The sequence below is a fragment of the Homo sapiens genome, chromosome 4 (genome assembly GCF_000001405.40).
Source record: "Homo sapiens chromosome 4, GRCh38.p14 Primary Assembly".
Taxonomy (NCBI): Eukaryota; Metazoa; Chordata; class Mammalia; order Primates; family Hominidae; genus Homo; species Homo sapiens.
The window spans coordinates 16,515,484-16,539,142 of NC_000004.12; the positions used below are offsets into that span (position 1 = coordinate 16,515,484).

At 42.0% G+C, this 23,659-nt stretch overlaps 1 protein-coding gene and 1 long non-coding RNA gene across 25 annotated transcripts in view, besides 1 other annotated feature; one reads left to right on the top strand and one right to left on the bottom strand.

The window, feature by feature from the left end:
- The window catches only part of LOC105374505 (uncharacterized), a 190,382-nt gene that overhangs the window by 154,619 nt on the left and 12,104 nt on the right, over positions 1 to 23,659 (top strand). Inside the window, exons 3-4 of one of the 3 annotated variants that reach the window (XR_007058068.1) lie at positions 21,147 to 21,207; positions 23,401 to 23,455. This is a non-coding gene — a long non-coding RNA (uncharacterized LOC105374505). Of the gene's footprint in view, positions 1 to 4,221; positions 23,456 to 23,659 lie in introns of those variants that run through there. The other 2 variants (XR_007058069.1, XR_007058067.1) reach the window with 2 other exon arrangements.
- Positions 1 to 23,659, bottom strand: part of LDB2 (LIM domain binding 2) — a 397,105-nt gene that overhangs the window by 13,943 nt on the left and 359,503 nt on the right. The window lies entirely within an intron of this gene.
- Positions 14,192 to 14,361: an enhancer, noted in NCBI's record as "experimental_75724 CRE fragment used in MPRA reporter constructs". NCBI's record gives its function as "activates a minimal promoter by MPRAs in K562 erythroleukemia cells, with activity observed for the non-introgressed 4:16531383 variant allele {active_cell/tissue: K562}" and the evidence as "EXISTENCE:reporter gene assay evidence [ECO:0000049][PMID:34662402]".

Here is a 23,659-nt window from a genome sequence, read left to right on the forward strand (position 1 = left end):
TCATTGCCTTTCCAAGCCATCAGTGCTCACCAGACCAAAAGGAGTGAAAGATTCCACAGTCATCTGTGCAAGTAGATTTAAGAGTGGGTTATCCCTCAAAGAAGTACCACTGCATCTATTATTAAGCAAGAATGGTAAGAAAAGCTTCAGAGAAATCCTAAAGACTAGGAAACATTTTAGAGTATTTTTTTTAGTATTTAAAACAGTTAAAAATCTTTTCAACATTTTCAAATTATTTTCATTTGGTTCATTTACCACTTATTGTAAATGAGCTTATGCTGGAGATAAAATACATGGGTGGAGTGGAACAAACATGGATTTACAAGCTAAGAAGTCTAGGTATGGATTATTTATTTATTTATTTATTTTATTATTTATTTATTTATTTATTTATTTTTTTGAGACAGTCTCGCTCTGTCGCCCAGGCTGGAGTGCAGTGGTGTGATCTTGGCTCACCGCAAGCTCTGCCTCCTGGGTTCACACCATTCTCCTGCCTCAGCCTCCTGAGTAGCTGAGACTACAGGCGCCCGCCACCACGCCCAGCTAATTTTTTGTATTTTTTTTAGTAGAGACGGGATTTCACCGTGTGTCCAGGATGGTCTCAATCTCCTGACCTCATGATCTGCCCACCTCGACCTCCCAAAGTGCTGGGATTACAGGCGTGAGCCACCACGCCCAGCCTAGGTATGGATTTTGACTCTCACTAGATATGCATCCTTGGGTAAGTTATTTAAAAACACTGGGTTTCAGTTTCACCTGCAAAACAATACCCATCTTATATACTGTTGTGAGAATTTGAGTTAATATGTCTAATGCATGACTATTTAATAATCTGTAGATATTATTAATTATATATTAGCAAGCATGCATAGGTTGCAATACAAACTACATTTCTATTACTTTACATCAACAAACAAACATTTATTGAGCTTCCTCCTAAGTATCAAGCATTCTGCTCGGTGCTGGGGACACAAAAATGAGAATAACACAATCTCTGCCCTTAGAGGGAATCCTTAAAAATGCTTTAAGTATATTAACAAAACTATCCTGTCTTAGGAAATCACATTCTTCCAAAGCAAGTATTTTTCATTGTACGACAAGGTAGACGGTGGGGGTGACCTGTTTGGACCTAGAAAGGACTATCAGCATTGGGCATGCTATAAAATGGGAGAGTTACACTTATTGTGAGGACCCATGAGCTCATTGTCTTTTCCTTTTTTGCAGTGACTTTCCTCTCTGGGTTTTCAGCAACATTTCTTTTTCAGGTGCTAATCCTCAAAATTTATCCCTTTCCCTTTAATGTAAAAATATCTTCCCATCGCTGTAACCCACCCCAAAGGAGCTTGCATCTCTGAATGCTAATCGAGAATCCCCAAAGTCATTTTTCTTCCAGTGGAGAGTCCGGGGCTGGAGAGGCAGCCCTCCCCTTATTCATGTATGCAAATGAGGCTTCTTCTCTGCTGCAAAGATGCAATGGCTTTGCTGGGCTCTGTGCTGTAGGTGGCAGAACTAACTCAGATAAGAGCCTGTCTTCTTTGGCAGTAAGCCAGTGCATCTTGGCAACAGCAAAGGCCTAGGGCATTATGAAATGAAATCAGGAAGCAGGTTTGGGGAGTGGGTTCCCTTAGTTGCTAGTCAAATCCGTTGGGAGCTGCCATTCCTACCCTCCCTGAGGTCTGAGACCCTCAAGAGAATCTGGTGAAGGCTATACAGCCTGTCTTTCAAATTTTGTACAAAATTTCTGGTGGTTGTTGAATCCTCTATAGCCCCATCCATCGACTCTAGGAAGAGTCCCCTGTTTGTAATAAGTATGAGCCAGGTTACAAGATATATGCCTTTTCCTCATTACCCCACTCCACATACACATAAAAAAAACACCAGTCAAATGCACATTATAGAACTGAGCATAATAACACATGGTCCTTTGATGTTGAAAAAAACTAATCTGCACAGTCAGGACAGCTACAAAGTGCCCACTGGACTTTTTCCCTTTGCCTAAAAAGAAAGGCCAAAGACAACATGTCTGCAACATCTGCAGCAGCCTGCATGCAGGCTTGCACTTTTGTTTGGTCTCTTCCTGGGGTAGTACCGGAGTGAAGAATACCATGAGGAATCCCAGGACGCTGTGGAAAGGGAAGGGATCAGCAAGGCCCGAGATCCCTCTTTGAATATAAAACCCATAAACATGGTGTCCCTGTCAAGTCCAGATAGGATCCCTAAGAAAGCCATTGTTCATCCTGGCAAAGTTCCAAGGACACCTTTTTGCAGATTTAGTGAATGTTTTAGGTTGAGCTTGCTCTCCTATGCTTCTGACCTCTTTTTTCTGGAGATTCTGGCCCCAACACTGACCCTTTGGTATGAAATTTTGTAATCACAACAGGAACTTGATGAATGAGTGGATGGATGGATGGATGGATGGATGGATGGATGGATGGATGGATGGATAATAGATAGCTTGGCCAGATTTATAGCAAGGAGTCATTTGTTAATGACAGACAAATCAGGCATGGTCCTGTGTGCTCTGAAGTGATGAATTTGTTCATTTGATGAATAAATGATTGTCTCCTGCATGCAAAATGCTTTGCACAATGCATATGTATGTCCTGGCCAGGCAGGAAGCTCTTAGTTCAGTCCCAGGATTCCTGCCTTTTCATATTAACAGAGGACCTAACAAATGTAGACAGTGCAGTGTTTTGCTCTTGTTTTGCTTTTCATCTGACAGTTCTCCTGGAGAAATTTGATTCTTTTCACTACACACTCATACCCATTCTTCTGGGGCATCTCATTGCCCGAATCTCAGGAACAGGTGGTGCTTGTCAGAGTTGGCTGTGAACTACAAAGCAGTATTTGATTATCTCCCAATCTAGGCTCTGTCTACCATCAACATTTTAATTCCATGTTTTTTGTGTGACATCCTATGGCCTTGAACCCTCTACTCTTTGTATGTAGGTCTCTTCAGAGTTGCTAGGTCAACGCGTTGCTCAGACCTTTGCTTGTGTTGTTTTTTTTTTCGCTTTTAAAAGGCCTTCTCTCCTCTTTCTCAGTCATCTTAACTAGGATTTGGCAAACTATGACCTGTGGACTAAATATCCGTGCTTTCTTACTGTCTATAGCTGCTTTTGTGCTACAGCAAAGCTCAGTAGTTGGACAGCCCACAAATTAAAAAATACTCACTATCTTGTCCTTCACAGAAAGTTTGTTGACCCTTGAACTAAATCGGTACTATTCCAAGAAGGTGGCTGCAAATGACTTGTTACGTCTCCATAATAGGATAAAGAGCTTGAGGCAGAGCATGTTCAATTCACTGCTTACTTTATTGAGAAAGTTTTGCATTAAAAAGGTATCAGATCAACTAAACAATATGCCCAGTGAAATAGTTGAGTTATGTCCTGGAGAGAGCTCCTTTACTTGTTGCGAACCAGTCGCCCACACTAAGTCACACCATCTGAACCATTTAAGGTCCTCCAAGGTCCAGCTCAAATCCCACCTCTGTCTCCGACCATCCTATCCTGCAAGGGACTCTTTTGCTTCTATAGCACTTATCGTGAATCTTTGCACATCCCAGTGTTTATATTTGCATTAGAAATTTTCCTTTCTTGTGGCCTCGTTCACCTCTTATCTACGGCAAGCTATATTTTACTTTTCTTTTTATTTAACACGGTATTAGGTATACTCAAATATTTGTTGAGTCATAACTTAATTAATAATATCTACAGAATGCCTAGTCTATGTCTATCCCTGGAGTATGCACCTTAAATTATTATGTCATTAACCCTCACCCCCACCTTTTGGCCCACTTTTACAGGTGAGAAAACTCATACCCAAACCCATTAAATCATCCAGAACTAGTGATAAAGAATGTGGTTCCTACAGTGTATCCAAGGCAGTACAGCTATTTGAAGGGCAGAGAAGAGGTTCAGTCAAGTTTCTCTGACTTCAACCCTGTACTATTAACTCGTAACTGCTATGTTGTTTACCTCTCTGAATATCAGTGGCTTAAATGACTTCTAAGATACCAAGTTCAAAGCCTTTCACTGTTTTTGTGTTTCTCTTTGCAAATGGTATTGATCGACAGAGCTAATACATGGCAAACTTGGGGGTTTGAACCCAGATGAATCTGGTTCCAAAACCTACACAGAGAGGTAGGTGATGCAGAAGGGTGTAGGTTTTGGAACCAGATTCATCTGGGTTCAAGCCCTCCAAGTCAGCCATTATCTAGCTATGTGTTCTTGGCCAAGAATTTTAGCCTCTCTGAATCTCAGTTTCCTCATCTAGAAAATGGGGATAATACTACTTATCTCTGACAGTTTGAAACAAAGTAAGTAACCCTTAATACAAAAGCCTGGAACTAGGTCAGCACGCAAAAGATGAACACTGTTGTGATGAGAAATGCTATGGCCTTAAAGGCCAGCCCCACTGAGCCAGGCGCTCAATGTATTATGGGACTGAGAAGCTTCTTTGGGAAGTAAGTCACATGGTCTCTGGAAGTCTTAGGGTCACTAGATAACAATGAATGCCCCAAAGAGTAGTAATCAGGCCAATGGCACATGGCATTTTAGTAGCTAACGTCTCCGATAATAACCCATATTTAGAATTCAGTGATAAATACCAAATGTTCAACTCCACAGCCAGGTTTTTTCACCCTCCCCTCCCCGCCGCCCCACCGCCAGTAATTTACTCCTCTGGCTAAATCCGTACCAGAAAGACATCAGATGATGGGGGTGGGGGGAGATTAAAAAACAAACTCTTATCTAAGAGTGAAGGAGTCTCTCTAATTAAGAAACACATAATGAAAAAATATATGGAATCTAAAAGAAAAAAAAAACAAAAAAGCAAATAATCCCCACTAAGAAGCAGATAAGAATGAATAACAGGCATCCACATGACTAAACTCACTCTGCTCTGAAGAGGAAGAACAAGGGATAGAGGAAACACTTTCCCTTAGAAGCGATGCAAGTCCAAAACATCAGATTATGATTGAGGTTTATTTCCTGATAGGATTAAAGGTAGATTGGTTGTCAAATTCAAAACATACTCCTTTTTATCTGAAGATGCAACCGGGGGATGTGTTGCCTTTTCTCAGTCTGTTTGCAAATTGATTACTCATGAAAGTTATCGCGTCCAACCCTGGAGACAGGGTGTCCCTCCGTTCTCAGGCAGAGGAGAGTGGCGGCAGCTGTCACTCCAGTCTTGAAGGGACCATCCTTCTTCCAGAGTGATCTTTCCTGATTTCACTTTTGAGGCTGTTGGGAAGGAGGTCATTGACTGCTTTTCTGACCCACCCAGGGGAGAAGTGCTTGGACTGTTTTCCTACCCTGGGGCAGCCCTGTCAGACTAGCCAAGCTCACGATTTCTGCTGCATCCGTTAGGCCCATGAAGAGACCATTCAAGGCCCCTTCTGTTCTGTTCTTTACCTCTGATTCTACAGCCATAATTTCTCTGCCATATCTTCCTGCCTGGGCACCCCCTTCCACAATGCTTGGGTTATTTGCCTCTTTGCTCTTAGCCCTGTCTCTTCCTTCCAGCTCTGCATGGCAGGAGACAAGCCCCTGCACATTATTTCCCAGCTGTCTTTGCCAACTGGCTTCAGGCGAGGTTTGGCCAGTTGGAGGTACTCAGGGAGATTAGAGAGAAGCAGGTTGTGTTCATTTCTTAGGACTGCCATATCCTGGTACCACAGACTGGGTGGCTTAAAACAACAGGAATGTATGCTGTCTGTTCTGGAGGCTGGAAATCTGAAATCAAGGAGTAGGCAGGGCCGAGCTCCCTCTGAAGGCTCCCATGAAGAATCCTGCCATGTCTCATCCTAGCTGCTGGTGGCAGGCACCTGCAATCCTTGGGGCTCATTGGCTTGTAGCTGCATCACTCCAATCTCTGCCTCCATCTGCACATGGCCTTTACCCTATGTGTCTGTGTCCTCTCCTCTTCTTATAAGGACACCAGTAATTAGATTTAGGGTGCACCCTAAATCCAGAATGATTTCATGCTGAGATCTTTAACTGATAACATCTGCAAAGACTCTACTCCCAAATAAGGTCACATTCTAAGTTTCCAGGGGAATATGAATTTTGAGGGAGCCTATTCAACCTACTCTATGTTTAAGGAAATAAGGAGGGGTATTTCTTGCCTTCTCTGTAGTTCAGGTAGCCTTTTCAGCAGCTGTCATCAGACACATCCACTACAGTTCCAGCTGATACCAGGTGACCCTACACCTTCTGCCTTTGTTCTTCTAGCCCCAGGAGTGGCAATTGCTAATCTTAGTGCTTCCTCATCTTCCTGTGATTGTTTGTCCAGCTCCAACATCTTTATAAGCATATGCTATATTAAATTTCCTCTATTAAATTATGAGGTGTGGGTTTTGTTTTCCTGGGTGGACTCTGATTGACATACATAGTTTATAAGAAATTAGACAATATGTGCAAGATGAAGGACTTTGGGTGTCTGGGAGCCTCGTGTGTTGTGGCTAGGTATGCAAATTCAGCTGCGGTTCAAACTCCAGCTACTTAATAAGGGGGTGACCTTGGGCAAGTGACTTAATCTCTTGGTGTTTCAGTCTCCCCATCGGCAAGATTGGTATAACAATAGTAACTAACTAGTGGGGTAACTAGCAGAAACAAGCACATTTATTTGAGGTATTTACCTAGGTTCTGGCTTATGGAAAGTGCTCTATACATGTTTAATATGATTGGACTATTACCAAGAGGGGGGCAGGGGTTTCACAGAAGACACTTTAAAACTTGGCACGACCTACTTGTTAAAATTGTATAGATATTCCCCGCCGTGTGTGTGTGTTTGTGTGTGTGTGTGTGTGTGTATGTATGTACAGTTGGCCCTTCTTATCTGGGGGTTCCACGTCTGTGGATTCAACCAACCACAGGTCAAAAATATTGAAAAAATAATGGATGGTTGTGTCAATACTGAATATGTACAGACTTTTTTTCTTGTCATTAGTTCCTAAACAATGCAGTATAACAACTACTTATTTAGCATTTACATTGTATTAGGTATTATAAGTAATCTGGAGATGATTTAAAATATATGAGCAAAAGTACAAAGGCTATGTGCAAATACACGATTTTATATGGGGGATTATGGTGTCTGTGGGTCCTACAACCAATCCCCTATGGATGCTGAGGAACAACTCTATGTATCTCTGTATATATAGAGAGAAATGTAAATATACACACACACATAACCTGAAAATTAGATTTTGATGATACAATGGATGTCTAAAAAATATTGGTCACTCTGTCTATGGTATATATAACTTGTCCTGACCATTGGGCTATTGCCTCAAATATCCCATCTGTGGGTTCTAGCAGCATCTCTAAATTCTAAGGCACAGTAGTTAGAGGTTTACAAAAGAAAGAGGAATCATCTGCCTGGAAATACACCACAATCATTAACAAACATCTGCGGAGTGCTGTGTGTCACCTAGAGAGGTACAAGCAAATTTATGGTAAGTTTTAAAGATTCTTATTGACGAATTATTGTCCTTCAGTTCAGCCAAGGCACTAAAAATGAAGGCCAGTGGCCCAGAATTACTCTAAATGGCCTCAGACATTGACTGTCTATTGTCTGTCACTATATTAGTCAGGATTCTTTAGAGAAACAGTACCAATGGGGTATGTATATGTACGTATGCATGTATGTACATATTTATTTTAAGAAATTGGCTCATGTGATTTTATGGGTTACCAAGTCCCAAAATCCATAGTTTCCACAGGCTGGAAGCTGTCAATAGTACCAAATTCTATATATACCATTTTTTTTAACCTATATGTAGATACCTATAATAAAGTTTAAGGTACAACAGCAAAAATAGCAAGAATTTCTTTATCTTTCTTCACAATTTCACAGGTAGAAGATTCATTCTTACCGTAGATCTTAGTCACTTCAGGACTCTTTTTCTTCATTAAGTCGAGAACTTTTACCTTTCACTTACAAGAAATACTTTATGGCCTCTCTCTGACATATCTGAATGGCCAGCATCACTACTCTTACATTTTGGGACCATTATTAATTAAAGTAATGGTTACTTGAACACCTGGAATGCCATACTGCGACAGTCGATCTGATAACCAAGCAGGCTACTCAGGGACTAATGGGTGGATAGTGTAGATAGTGTGTATCCAGGCTACTCAGGGACTAATGGGTGGATAGTGTAGATAGTGTGTATCCAGGCTACTCAGGGACTAATGGGTGGATAGTGTAGATAGTGTGTATCCATTGAACAAAGGGATGATTCATGTTCCAGGCGGGACAAAGGACAGTGTGGGGTTTCATCACGCTACTCAGAATGGCAATTTGAAACTTATGAATAGTTTATTTCTAGAATTTTCTCTTTAATATTTTCTGACTGTAGTTGACCATAGGTAACCGAAACTGCAGGAAACAAAACCATAGGTAAGAAAGACCTGCAGCAACTAATATTACGCCCTAGCTAAGTTGACAATTAAAATTAACTATTAGTGTGCTCCCCACTAGACTATAAACAATTAGAGGGCTGGGCTGTATCCTGTGAGTTTATTTTATTTATCTTTCAAGTTACCAAGCAATAGGTCTGATGTTTGTGGAAGGAATGAATGCTTGAAAATAGGGATGCGGTAGGATGGAAAACAAATGGACCAGATCTTGCTTTATCCATTTCATAACTGTAGTAACCTGGGGCACATTATTCAAGCATGTATCACATAGTATTTATCAGGCACCTTCTATATGCTCAGGAAGGAGAGTGGCACTCGGGATGCAATGGTGAACACAGCAGTTGCAGCTCCCTCCCCTGAGGCTCCCTGTTGGAGGGAGAGACAGGTGATAAACAAGGATTCCAAACTGGATGCACATAATAAAGAAGGGCAAAGCGTGTCAGGAAGGGCTGCCTGAGGAATCGATATTTAAGTTGAGACATACAAAGATGAATTAGGAGTCAGCCAGGTGAAAGAGAAGATTCCTAAGATAGAGGTAGGGAGGGTATCTCAGGCAGAGGAAATATACGTGTGAATGCAAGAGAACAGGGCATTGGAAACCACCACATCGTGGAAAGAGAGTATGAGGGAGGGGCTGAGAGCCTGAGCTGCAGTGGACAGGCAGGCAGGGATCCGGTTAAATCAAAGCCTCACTTTCTGCCCCATAGAGGAGCTGAGAGGCACAGATGATGTAGGCAAAAACATTCTGTGTGTGATAAACCCTCTGCAAATGCCATTAGGGTTTACATTAAACTGAAATGTGTCAAACGCAATATTGCTCTTTCATCCGTGTTTCCTGAACATGAGAAAAGCATCAGCATTTTGATGTGTTTGGTGAAACAAAGCACCAAATATCCCAAAAGGCAAACAATGGCTGCTTGGAGACTGACCCCCAGCATAGGAACCCTTTGCAATTATCCATCCTTGCCTCACTGGAAATATACAGCTTTTATAGCATATTGGTTATTCTTCCCAGGGACCTGAGAGACTAGGTACTTACGGTAAGGTAATATTTAAACACTAACATTTATAAATGCAGCTTTATAATTGCAATACTGCAAATAAGGGAATTTGGATATGTTCCTTGAGAGCTGTCAGTGACAGTTTCCAAGGAACATGACTATCTTGTTCATGCAGTTATAATCCCTTCTGAACATTGACTGAATGGTTACACCTGCCTCCTGCCCTGGGATAAGTACCCGCAAGACTGTTAAAGACAGCTGTGTGCTGGGGTTTGGGGCTGTGTCCCTAAGGCTGCTGTTTGGGAGGATTTCGGGGCTGCTGATCAGTGTGGGGATGTGGTCTTCTCTCTCTTGGTTCTGGGCATGCCAAGTGTGGCTGCATTTAGAACAGCTGTCTTCTTGGCTGCTTTCTTGGGAGCTTCTACCAGGCAACAGCTCTCCAGCTCTGCTCTGACGCAAAGGAAAGGAAAGATTTCTCAATAATGCAGCACTCAGCTGCTCAATTGCTCCCCAGCCATTCCATCACTGTGCGCTTGTATCTGCAGCCCTCTCCCCTCCCAGGGATAGAAGGGAGTTTGGTGAAAAGTAAGATTCATGTTGATGATGCCAGCACTGTATGAAAATGGAGTTGGCAGAGGTTGTGGTTCAATTATTCATTCACTAATTCATTCATTCAACACCTACTTACTGAATGTGTACTACGTGCTCTTTATTTGTTCTAGGTGCTGGGGGTGCTATAAGCAGGAAAAAAGAAAATCACTGCTCTTAAGGGAACTGCATTTTAATGAAGGAGTCAGATAATAAATAAATTAAATAAACAAAAGATATATACTATGTCAGGTAGTGATAAGTACCAAAGAGAAAAGGTAACGTAGGGAAGAGGGATATGAAATGTTGGAGTTGGGAGGGTTGAAAATGTGGATACCTTGGCTAAAGCCACTGAGATAGAAAGAATAGTGGCTCTGCAGAGATATCCACATTCTAATGGTTCGAAATTGTGACTACAGCAGGTTCCATGGCATAGGGAATTACAGCCGCTAATCAACTGCCCTTGAGATCCAGAGAGGAGCCTGAATTGTCCAGGTGGTCCCAATATAATGACAAGGGTACTGTTATCGTTAATTTTTGGTGTCAACTTGACTGGATTAAGGGATACCTAAAATCCTGGTAAAGTGGTATTTCTGGGTATGTCCGAGAGGTTGTTTCCAGAGGAGAATGGTGTGTGAGTTAGTGGACTCAGTGGGGAAGATCTGCTGTCAATGTGAGCAGACACCACACAATCAGCTGGGGGCCCAGATAGAACAAAAAGGCAGAGAAAGGTGAATTCTCTCTCGCTTTTCTGGAGCTGGGACACCCTTCTTCTCCTGCCTTTGGACATCAGAACTTCAGGTTCTCTGGCCTTTGGATTCTAGCACTAGGCAGTGCTCCCCCGACCCCCACCTCTCAGGTTCTCAGACCTTCGGTCTGGGAGTGAGAATTACCCCCTTGGCTTCCCTGGCTCTGTAGCTTTGAGACTTGCCATGAGTCACATTACCAGCTTCCCTGGGGCTGAAGATTGCAGATATCTACTGCAGAACTCCTCAGCCTCTGTCATCACATGAGCCAATGCACCTAATGAATTCTCTCTCATCTATCTGTCTATCATCTATCATCTATATATCCATCCATCCTGTTGGTGAACCCTGACTAACATGGGTATTTATAAGTGGAAGAAGGATTCAGAAGGTAGAATCAGAAAGATGGCAGCATGAGAAGGACTTGGCCTGACATTGTGTCTTTGAAAATAAAAGGGTGCCAGGAGCCAAGGAATGTGTACACCTCTAGAAGCTGGGAAAGACAAGGAAACAGATTCTCCCTGAGAGCCTCCAGAGAGGAATATAATCCTGCCAACACCTTGACTTCAGTGCAATGAGATCTGTCTCAGACTTCTGATCTACCGCAAGATCAATTATGTTGTTCCCAGCCACTAAGTTTGTAGTAATGTGTCTTAGCAGCAATAGAAAACCAATATAAGCATCCAAACGGCAACTTCTAAGTGAAGAACTCTGATATAGTTGCCATATTTAGCAAATAAAACTACAAGATGTCCAGCTAAATCTGAATTTCAGATAATAAACAATAACTTATTAAAGTAATACATTATTAATAACTTATTTATTATTTATCTGTTCTCGAATGTAACTGGGCATCTTGTATTTTATCTGGCACCCCAAATCTCAGAGAAAGTTAGACAGCGAGATATTTGGGGAACACATTCCAGGCAGAGGGACAGCATTTCTGCTGGGGCAGAATTCTCAGGAGCAGAGGGAAGAGCAAGAGTGAAGACTTGAGTTCTTTGAGAAACTTCTAGGAGGGAAGTGCAGCTGGAGTGAAGAGAATGAGGGAAACAGCAGGAGAAGATGAGTTCAGAGAGATTGTGGGGAACTATTAGGTTAGTGCAAAAGTAATTGAGGTTTTTACAATGCGATGCCACCTTACTCCCGGAAGAATGGCCATAATCAAAAAAATAAAAAAAAAATAGATGTTGGCGTGGATGCGGTTGAAAAGGGAACACTTTTACACTGCTGGTGGGAATGTAAACTAGTAAAATCACTATGGAAGACAGTATGGAAATTCCTTAAAGAACTAAAAGTAGAACCACCATTTGATCTAGCAGTCCCATGTACCCAGAGGAAAGTAAGTCATTATATGAAAAAGACACTTGGACACGCATGTTTAGACCAGCACAATTTGCAATTGCGAAAATGTGGAACCAGCCCACATGCCCATCAATCAGAGTGGATAAAGAACTGTGGTATATAGTCAAACCCAAAAAGCAGAAATGGTGACTATATTTAATAATACTATATTGTATACTTTAAATTTACAAGAGGGTAGATCTTAAGTCTTCTTACCTCACACACACAAAATGATTAACTATGTGAGGTAATGAATATGTTAATTATCTTTATTTCAGTAATCATTTCACTATAAATATATCAAAGCATCAAGTTGTGTACTTAAACATATCCAATTTTTGTCATGTATACCTTAATAAAGCTGGGAGGAAAAGTGAAAAAAAAGAAACTGTGGTGTATATATATACATGTAATATATATATATATACACTACTTAGCCATAAAAAAGAATGAGTTAATGGCATTAGCAACAACCTGGATGGGACTGGAGGCTATTATCCTAAGTTAAGTAACTTGGGAATGGAAAACCAAATATTGTATGTTCTCACTCGTAAGTGGGAGCTAAGCTATGAGGATGCAAAGGCATAAGAATGATACAATGGACTTTGGGGACTCAGGGCGAAAGGGAGGGAAGCGGGTGAGAGGTTAAAGACTACAAACTGGGTTCAGTGTATACTGCTTAGGTGTAGGTACACCAAAATCTCACAAATCACCAGTAAAAATTTTACTCATGTAACCAAATACCACCCGTTCTTCAAAAACCTATGGAAATAAAAAATATTTTAAATAAGGTAATTGAGGTTTTTGTCATTAAAGGCAATGGCAAAAACCGCAATCATTTTTGCACCAACCTAATGGATTACAAACATCATAATGAGGATGTTGGCCTTTGGTCTGAGAGAGTTGGCTGACATTGGAGGATTTTGAATAGAGGTAGACCAGTATTTGGGGCCTCCTGAGAATGGAGAGAGGCTGACGGTAAGCAACCTGAGGGCAGGGCCTTCGGCCAGCCTTGCTGAAGAGGCGCACACAAGCTGGGAGGGCAGCAGGCCTTCAAATTGGTAGACTTGTGCAGTGCCACCTGCCACCAGAACCAGTAAGGTATAGAGAAGTGCCTGGTGGGAGAGCAGAAGATGTTAAGAGGAAAAAAGTGATTCATGAGAAGAAATCTGGTTTGTGAGCCAATCGTAAGGGACGTGGGCGAAGAACAGACGTATAGGGGCTTCATGAGGCTGAAGACATTATGTTCAAAGCCCAGTTTCATCATTCTGGAACTCAGCAAGAGAGACACGTGTCATGACACCTGTCTACTCAGTTAGTTCAGAGCAGCAGAGTCTACACCAAGATCCCAAGAAGCCACACACATTTCAATCTTCAACCGTACCTGGATTTTCTTGGAACAGTTGCCAGAAGAGAAAAAATGATGACTATAAAACTCTTTTAGAAGCTTAATAAATCACTACCTCTAATCATTACCAGTACTTGGTGTTTACAGGGTACCAGGCACTGGGCTCAGTGCCTTACCCCCGGCACCATTAACTATACAGATGAGGAAAGGGAAACCAGAGGGAATGAGTAACGGGCCCAAGGATGCAGCTTTTTGGGACTCAATAGATTTGTCCTCCTTGAACTTGGGCCCCAGACCGAATCAATTACCCCCATCTTAGTTTTTATGCCCATGCTTGGGAATGTATCTCTATCATCCTGTGGTATAATGAGCTGAATATGTGTCTGCCTCCCTAATGAGCCTGGGATCCTAGTAGGCAAGCAGAGAAACAAATTAATGTTGAATGAATGAATGAGGCAAACCACTGACAGGCCAGGTTGCAGGTGCAGCAGGGCCCATGTCCCTTCATCCTCAGCAGAAATGGGTCGGAGCTGAGGACCCTGCCTTCTGCCACCACTTCTCCAGTGTCATTTCAATGTGCATCACTTCTAATTTCATTGTGTGTTTTCCCACAGAGAGTATTCAAAACTTTGAGAGGGATCAGAGATTGAAGCTTGTTTTTATTTTTCCTCCACCTATCTGCATTTAATCACATAGGGAGCTTCTCTTCCTTGTCTTCTTCCTCGTGTCCTATCTCATTGTTTCCCTTTCATTCTTCCATGCTTTGAGAGCATCCTTGTCCCCTGGGTCCTTTACGGAAGATCTGTATATGGTGTTTGAAAATCTGTTTCTGTTCTAGCCCGTAAATTGATGCAATATATTGCGGCTTCAGCCTCCACTTTTTTTGGTTTCTGTGTGTGTATGTGTAAAGTTTCATGGTTGACATCTGTCTGATGCTGCCCATTCAGGCATTGAGTCTCTAGATGTGAGAAAGAATGTGTTCTTTATGCCCTCTGGAGCAGTGAGAAGCTTGGGGTGAGCATATTCATTGGAAATGGCTGGTCTAATTGACAGAAATAACCCAGGTGCCTTCCAGTAAGAAAGGCAAGAAAACACAATCACAAGTTCACTCTGGGCCACTACATTTGATGGAGTCTCGGTTTCCCAAATTATTTATAAACCAGCAAGCAGATATCATAAGACTCCTAATATTATAGAACTTTGAAAGTTAGCATACTCCTGGACAGTTTTACAGTAGGGACAGCTGAAGTTCATTGGGTTTAAGAGGGTCTGCCTGACCTCGCACTGCTGCCTTGGTGTCAGCCTTGAAATTGTGGCTGCTCTCCTTGTTCAAGGTCTTGTCCTTTTCACCATGCCATGACACATGGTAACACTTTCCCCTTTTCAAATAGGACATTTGCTTTCAGTTGGGTCTAGTCTCAAACTTCCTTGCTAGCTCTTGGAAAGTTCTTGAAACCCATAACTCTCCTATGACATTCAGGACTTTCTGTTTTCCAATGCTGTTATGTATGGGCAAATATCAGTTTGCCCAGCAGCAGAAAGTAAGCTGCCCAAGGGCACACTGAAAGCAAAGTCTGTCACTATGTCCCTCATGATCTGAGGCAGAACCTACTATCTGAAAAAGGATCTAGTTTATTTCTGATTCAAAATACATATTCCTTTCTTCTGAAAACATAAAATAAGGGTTAACATATACCTCCCTTCTTCTGGAATCTTTTGCACGATACAGGCTTTCTTTGAGGTACAGAACCTTCCCAAAGTGACAGTTTCCCATCTATCCTCACAGAGACTCTCCTGAAGTTTGTTCTTTCTGAAATAGATTCACCTGAGCCAACACACAGCCTCCTAAAATGCCATCTACTATTTTAGGGGGCTGGCACACAACTAGTTACTCTGTTACTCCATCTAGACAGCATCATAGCTCTACGACTTGGGTAATTTTATCCTCATTTTAGAGATAAGCAACCTAAGGCTTACAGAGATTTAAGTGACTCACCATTCATAAATGATCTCATTTTGTCCTCCCAACAAGATTAGGACTTAGAATCCTTATTTTCAGAGACCATCATTGGTGTTTTCTAGAGGGGTTAAGTGCTTTGCCCCAGACCCATAGCTAGAAAGTAGTGGAACCAGGTTTCAGTGTAACTTCTTTTGACCCATACCCAGGAAGGTGCTCAGCAAACAGCAGGTGCTCCATAAACACCTATTGAACAAATGGATGATTCTGCAGCCCAAGTTCTTCCCACTACGCTCTACTATTACAAAACTGTTATCCCTCTGTCTGGTACACAGTTCTGATACCAAGGCTGATTAAACAGCATGTTGCCAAGTCCTCTTTTCTCAGGCCACTTTGGGCTGTCCCAGTTCCTCTGGTACTTCCCTGTCACCCTTGCTCCCAGCAGTATCTTTCAGAAACAGGAAACAACAATTTCTCATTCTACCATCTCTCTTCACAATCATGTGTGAAGGTGAAGAATGACATTTCCTTCCTCTTAATTCCTCCAAAAGGCAAACAACATATTATTCAGGAGTTCTGCATCAAATCCCAACACCTGATACGCCTGATAGGCAAACCATTCACTTTCTCTATTTGTGCAGCCATAGGACCTTATCACTATTGCTGTTCTTCCTTTTGATGATGAAACACATCCTCTATCACTCTTCACCTGTGTCCCTGGCAACTCCCTCAGGTTCACATGGCTTCTCAAACCTTAATTGTCTTGTTCAAGTTCTTGTGGGTCCAAAATAAATCATGGATTTAGAGAAATTATCACTGTGTCATTCATGCTTGAGTGCTGGCATGGCTAAATAGATAGATAGACACCTTCAAACCAGGGATATGGTTTAGGAAAACCTTACAGTTAGAATAAATTTTGTCTAGGAATGTTCTGTCCAAAAGCACCCAAAGTAATATATTTTTTCCAGACATTGTGTAAGGAAATATGCCCACCCATAGTTTTTCCATGGATGCTTTGCAGTTCAAACAGATGGAGGAAGGTAGCAGAGGACCTGAGATGAGGGAACACAGTTTCATTTAAGGATAAAACCCTCTAATAAAAGGCTTTTTCTGAGGTTTCATTCTAGCTTAGCATGATCATTTTGTGTACTAAAAATAAACAGAGATTATGCATAGCTAGGATTTGGGCCGGGGGAGGGAATCAGCCTCTCTCTTCACCCTTCTCTTTCCACTTACTCCCTTTGAGTTTTTTTCTTTTAATTTTAGGTATGCCAAAAAAGTAAGGTTTTCAGGAGTGTAACAATTATGGATTTTAGGCACCACAATGTTTTCTTCGGGTCCACACAAACACACACACATATACCCTTCCATATTTCCTTACCATGGCTAAAGCACAAATGCAGTATTTTTCACAGAACTGATGCTATTTTTAGACTGAATTGTAGGAAGTCTGCAGCATTAATAAATAGACAAGAAGCACAGAGCCATTGCGCATGGTGATATGCCAATGCAAAAGCTAGCTTGGCCTTTAACCAATGAACTGTGGTTAGATGTTGCAACAACAAAAGTAAAAGCACCGCTTACAAAGGAATGATTAATAAGCTGACAAACTTCAGGCATTTATTTCCTATTCTTTCGTGCCAGCTATATTAACACTAGCATATTTTCAACTTTATTAGTAAAGTCTTAGAGTCTGGTACTCTTAGGTGTGGTCACGAAGAGCTTCTTAAATCAGCTGCAAATTATTTGGAGAGGTAAATACTTGATAAATGTTGCTTTTTTCCCCCATTACCCTAATAGACCATGTCTGTTTATTTGTCTCCATGACACCTTGCTCCGAATAATAACCATTATGGTTCCCCAAACCCAATGCTGCAGGAAATCATCTACTGTGGTATTAGCATCTTGTGGTAACTGATCCATGCCCCTTGTTGTGGGACTTCTTCGGTCATATTTGCTTCAAGGAATTTCTATCCCTCCCTGTGGCAAATGTTCTCTGTGTGCCAGTCTGACATTCCTAGCATAGGAACCACTTTCTAGAAAGGGAGCCAGTCAACAGACTCCAATATCCTGTCTATAATAAACTCAACATCTCAATCAGCTGAAAAGATGGAGTAAAATGAGGAGTTAGGGGATGGAATTAGTGTGACCAACTTGCTTCAGTTTGCTTGGGACTGTCCCAGATTTTAAAACTAGAAGTTCCAGATCCCAGGAAACCTCTCAGTCCCATTCAGTGGGTTGGCTTGTTACCCTAGATGGAAGAGTCACTGGCCTGAGCCTGAAGGAAACTAGGAAGGGACTTGGCTTTAGAGACAGACCCAGGTTCAAATCCCAGCCAGGTCCTACCAGCTGTGTGACTCTCCTCAAGCCTCGGTGCTATCAACATGTGATTAACCTCTAGTCTGAGGTTAAGGATCCCACTTCTAAAGTTAAAAAACCATTCATGTCTGCAAAAATGGAAATAATAATAGCTACCTCATGGATCTGAGGATACAAAGCAAAATCACATCTGCAAGTATCTACACATACAAGAAATCGCAAACTTCAGAGCCCTGGTTGCTGAGTTCCAAAGTGGATTAAGATGGACTTAAGTGGGTCCTAAAAAAGCAATGACAAATGACACAATGAAATTGTATCCTGGATGGTGTGTCCCTGCATTTGACTCTGAACATGGTTTTATTTTTGTCTATAAAGCTGAGACTTCTCTCAAGAAAGCAAGACTGTGACAGAGAAGGGCAGCTCCTTCACCATATCCCTAACGTTACCAGACACCTTGTCTGAGGGACGTCACCCTGGCTGAACAAATGGTTGCTTATGTAAAAGACCTGCCCTCCAGTAAAATTCCATTTTGGGGTTGCATAAAAACAACAATTCCTGGAAAGGTGAAATTTTTAATTAAATGTATTCAAAGGGAATACAGATTAATGCCTCTAAGCAAGAGAGTATTTAATGCTTCCAGGCCAGTTCATGCCTACCGAAGTAAAAATCTTCATGCCAGTGAGGCTTTTAAGTATTGATATTTCCTGCATTAATAATACTCTAAACCACATTCATAATAATATAATTAGCAATACAATTCATACCATACAGCATGTGAGGACTCTGCATTAATTACAGCAGCATAGCCTTTGTGTGGAATGCCACGATCTGATTTTAGCTCTCAAGGTAAATGATCATAAACTTGGGGGGCAGGGGTGTCCAGCAGAATGATGCACCATGCACAACTCACGTTCCTCTGATGATCACAAAATAACAACAAATATTCTGTGCACAGTGCCTGCAGGGAGGAAACCCATTTTAAAGTCCAAGCTTGAGTGAATTTGGCTGTGCTTCCAAATTTTGTATGTAGCAAAATGTGATTAATATCCTCGATGTTCTCATTTTATCTCAGCCTCCATCCTAAACCCATGGAGTATCATGATACTTTTATGTTGATGAACAAGATGGCTTAGTAGGGGTTTTAGAAACGAACTTTTACCCCAATGGGACTTGCCTCATAATTTCCATTCCCCTCCTAAACACCCCGAGCTGGCCTTGCAGGAATTCTCGTCTCCAGCACTGGGGTAAGGGAAGCGCGTGTTTTATCATTGATGATTTTGCTAAAGGCTTATGCTAGTTCTGAGTAATGAAAAAATGTATTGGAACACATAGCTGTGCTAATTTATATTTCTCAAGTAGCTTAAAAGGGCTTCTGCTTTTTCCGTATCTTTACAAACACTATGTATTATCATTTAAAAAAATAGCTTTGCCCATGTGGTAGACAAAAAGTGACATGAAATTGTTATTTTCACTTTCTAAGATGAATTAGAAGAGCAAAGCTCAGTTGAGATGCCAAGAAAGAAGAGGATATCCGACTCAGAAGTATTAGGACAGATTCAGATGAACTTCTGTAGGGTCTCCCTTGCTATCCATCTATCTGGACGCTACACTTTTTCCATCATAAAGACCTTCACAAAGCCCTCATGTACCCTGAGGTCTCTCAGCTCAGGACATCACATCAGCATGGCCACCCCATCCTAGTGTCCAGACCCAAACTACATACTAAGAAGTGTAATAAAGCCAGAAATGTAATTATGACACATCAGGGGATGAGTTTTGTGCCAGTCTCAACTCTCCCCAAAGTGATACACAGCTGTCATTTTTGACAGGTTGAAAGAAAGTAAGAAGTTCTCCAGCCTAGCAGGCTTTTCCATGCATCTGGAGCAAGGGGCTTCGGGTCAGCTGCTGTGATTGCGTGAGAGAAGGACTGAAGTAATTGCTAGTTCTCGAAAGAAAACCATTTGGATGACCGTGGAAGGGGAGCTAACCACTCTCACAGGCAGGAGAGACCCTCATCTAACATGATACAATATAAAAGGCACAGATGCGATTTAGGGGTAGGAAGACATGCGTAATGGTCCTGCCACCCCTTCTCATCACTGTGCTGCCACTGTACCCTCCGTTTCCTTTAATAGAGCCTTTGGTGCCTGATTGTTTCTTGGGTTCTTCAATATGGCGAGGACCTCAAGCTTTCCTTATAGTCATTCATTTATTCATCCAACAAATATGTTTTGAGTGTCCACATTCTGTGTGCCAGGTTCTATGTCAGATACAATAAACAAAGCAGACATAGTCCCTTCCTTCAAGCCTGGGTGATTTTCACTCTTATGGGGGAAGAACACGGGCTGCGGAATACACCAAGGAAGAATACTCAATCCAGACTAGGGTGGGAGGGCTGTGTTGGCAAAGCCTTCCTGGGAGAAAAACATATCAGAACTGGGACCAGATGGTTTAGTTAGTGACTCTAGTAAATGCTGGACAATAATAGTAAACAATAGTAGTAGCACTTACTGAATGCTTTCATTATGCTAAGCCCTATACTGGGCAATTCCACAGAGCATCTCCTCTATGAAGCAGGTTTTATTATTATCACCATATGTAAACAAAGATACCGATGTGTAGAAAGCTTAGATGCTTTTTCTATGGTCCCAAGTAAGAAGCAACAGAACTGGGAGTTGAACTTGTGTAAAAGGAATAATAAAAAACGTGCATTTCTAACCACTGCACTGTGCTGCTATCCTTTGTGACTTGGGAAAGATCCTTGCAAATAAGCCTCAAGGTGTTATTTGCCAAAGTAGATGAAGCTGCATAGCACAAAAACCCAATCCCAACTATGCTTACTTTGTAAGAAAGCTGGACGGAGCACTAGGCCACAAACGGTAAGGGGAATGCATTTGCCCCTACAGGATGGTCGGCCCTCTCCCCAGTCACTAACTTTGTTTTCTATACTGGACCAGGAGAAGAACAGCCCATATGAAGGATGCCCATGTAGCTCATTTGTGTAGGAGCAGATAGCAAGCGTCAGCCTTTTATCTCCCTGGCTGGGTGTGACTGTGGTGATAGAGCTGCCTTGGGAAGATGAGTAGCTAGGAAAGAGGTTCTCAAATCACTCCTGCTTTATCGTAAATGTCTGAGGGCTGTGGCTTTCCAAATTGATTGTGGTCCACCCCAGCCAAGTCACCTTCCTACACCTCGCTGAGTGCTCCAGCATGCTGTGCTGCTGGTCAGATGTCCAGAAGGCCTCTGCTACTGTCCAGAGAAGTTGGTGCCTCCATTGGAAGTTGATGATTTTCCTTCAGGGGAAACAGACAAAGGACCTGGCAGCTGGGTGAGAAAAGGAGCCAGCATGTGATGAACAGGCATTGTGTTAACTCAAATTGTACTATGGAATGAGCACATTTTTTTCTCACTCAACAGGAAGTCATCCCAGGGTAGAGGGAATCCCAGTTCTGCCACCGTTGGGAATCACATGACTCAGGTGGGTCAGGGGATGGAGAATGGCTCAAGCAGGGAGTGTCAGGGCTGCTGAACACCTTCCCAAAGATTGTGCAGGGCTGGGAGGAAGGCCTAGAAGGATGAGCACAGGTTAGGAGTCAAACAAGTGGGTGTTAATCCCATTTCTCTATTTTTGACTGTGTGGCCTTAGGCCAGTTACTCAGTCTCTGTGTTCAAAAATAAAGCCCATTTTAGGGCTGCTCTAAAAATGAAACAGGATGATGTAAATGAAGTGCTGGGCCCACTCCAGTGCTGGTGCTTTGTCAATCATAATGTTACTCATATTCCTAAACTCATATTTCGGTATTGCCTTTTTGAGGTTTTTACAGTTTACGTTTTTATGATTGGTATAAGCCTGTGTGTGTGGCTGAGTGTCTAGGTTTCTTTTGTGAAAGAGGGACTTCCTTTCTTTTTAGAGTTTTCCTTACTCATGTGGTGAGACTGTTGCAAGAACTAAGGCTCTTAGAAACACCAAGACTTCTAAAACCCTTTTATTCTTTGTGACAAAGCAAGCAAACTATGGGAGAGTTTGACAGGGAGAAGGAAAACACAATGTAGTTTTTACTAAGAAACCAATGATTTCCTTTATTCTCCCTTCTTCTAGAAGGAAATGTGAAGGTTTCCTTAGTTTCTTCCTTCTGGGTGAAAACCCAAGTACAGATCTACTGCTCTCTTGGAAAGAATAATTCAGGAAAAAACAAAGTATGTGTGAAACATATTTAAAACAAAAGCACTTGTAAAATCCTTAACAGTCTCATGAGTTCTCTCCATTCTTCTCTTCTTTACAGAGGAGACCTTTGTTTTGGAAAGAGAACCCAGTGGGGCATTGGGAACTAGGTACAGCACGATGTCTGAAGTCAATGCTTGCCTATCTTCTACAGTTATCTGTGGGCACAAATTACAACAGCTTACAAAGAACTTCATGGAGGGCAATTTAGTGCTCCTAATGTCCTGCTGACAATCCTGAGAGGAGGGTCAATGAGGGATCCTCTACTTCCTTTTAGAGGCATTGAAACTGAGGTGTAGAACTTATGTGCAATACCCCTGCTCCCCAGCTGGTCAATACTGGAGCAGCACTAGATCTGGTTCCTCTGCTGTCTGTCCTTAACTGCCACTGGTTTCTCAAGCTCCGGTTCCGCTTAGATGCCTAAGGTATCTAAGGTATAGGTATAAGACAGGGCACTGGCAAGAAGGTCTGCTTATTACTTACAGGAGTTGCCTCCCAGGGAAAGAAAGTGAGCCAAACTGTCAAGGGTGTTTTACATTTATATTGTACTGCTTTATCCCTTTTGGCATCAGAGCTTAAGCCAAGGTACTTGGGCATGGCTGATCTGGCATTCAGGTGCCTGAGGAGGCTGGCTTGTCAAAGTGGCTCTCAGAGTGCCCAGTGTTTGAGTCACACCCAACCCATGGACTGTTTGGCTCATGTCCTGGGACTTCTTGCCTCCCCTCTTAAAGCAGCAAAAGACAAAAGTGTAATCACTCTCCAGTGAGCCTGGACCAAAGGCCCAGAGCAGAACAACAAGCCCTGTTTTGCTTCCTCCTGGCATTAAGAATCAAGACTGACTTTGTGCGCTGTGCTGCTGAGTGTGGTGTGTGACCTGTGAAATGAAAAATCCCTGCTCTGTGCCCAGAGGCTTCCAATCCTGCTGCCCAGGCTGTTTTCTTTTTATACCTGCTGGAAAGGAATCAGAAAAGTCCAACAAGCAAAAAAACAAAAACAAAAACAAAACAAAACAAAACACAATGACCAAGATTCAGCAGAAGCTAGGAAGTGTTCTTAAGACGTTTCTACAGCTTTTCCCCTTCCCACCATGCTTGTCTTGGTTCATCAGTTCTGATGTTTATTTCACTTGCTTGCTGAGCACCTGCTAGAGGCCACCTACAGCAGCTAGAGGACAAGTTTTAGAGTCAGTCAGTATAAACTAGCTGTGTGAACTTGAGCAGATAATCTTCCCCCAAAGTCTTAGTTAGTTAGCTTATTTGTTAAGTAATACCATCATAAGACTGAGTCAATTGATCAGTCACTCATTCATTCATTTATTCCTTCATTCACCAAATATTTGTTGAGCCTCTACTATGTGTTTGGCACTATTATTAAGTAGTCTGCATGTATTTTTAATTTAATCATCATGACAACCCCAAGTAAGTACCTTTTGCTTTCCTCATGTTACAGATGAGGAAACCGTGGCAAAAACAGATGAAATAAGTCATCTGAAGCCATACAACCAGTAAGTGTTTGATTTGGGTTTGGAATTAATGCATCCTCAAGTCCTGATCCTGTACTACTGAACCAAAAGTAAGACTCAGTCCCCAATCTTAAGATGCTTGTAAGCTAATCAGGGAGACAGATGTGTGAATGGTTAAGTGATATGTAGGCAAAGTTTCACACAAGAGATATGTATGTAGGGAGGTACCCAAGCTGTCCTACAATT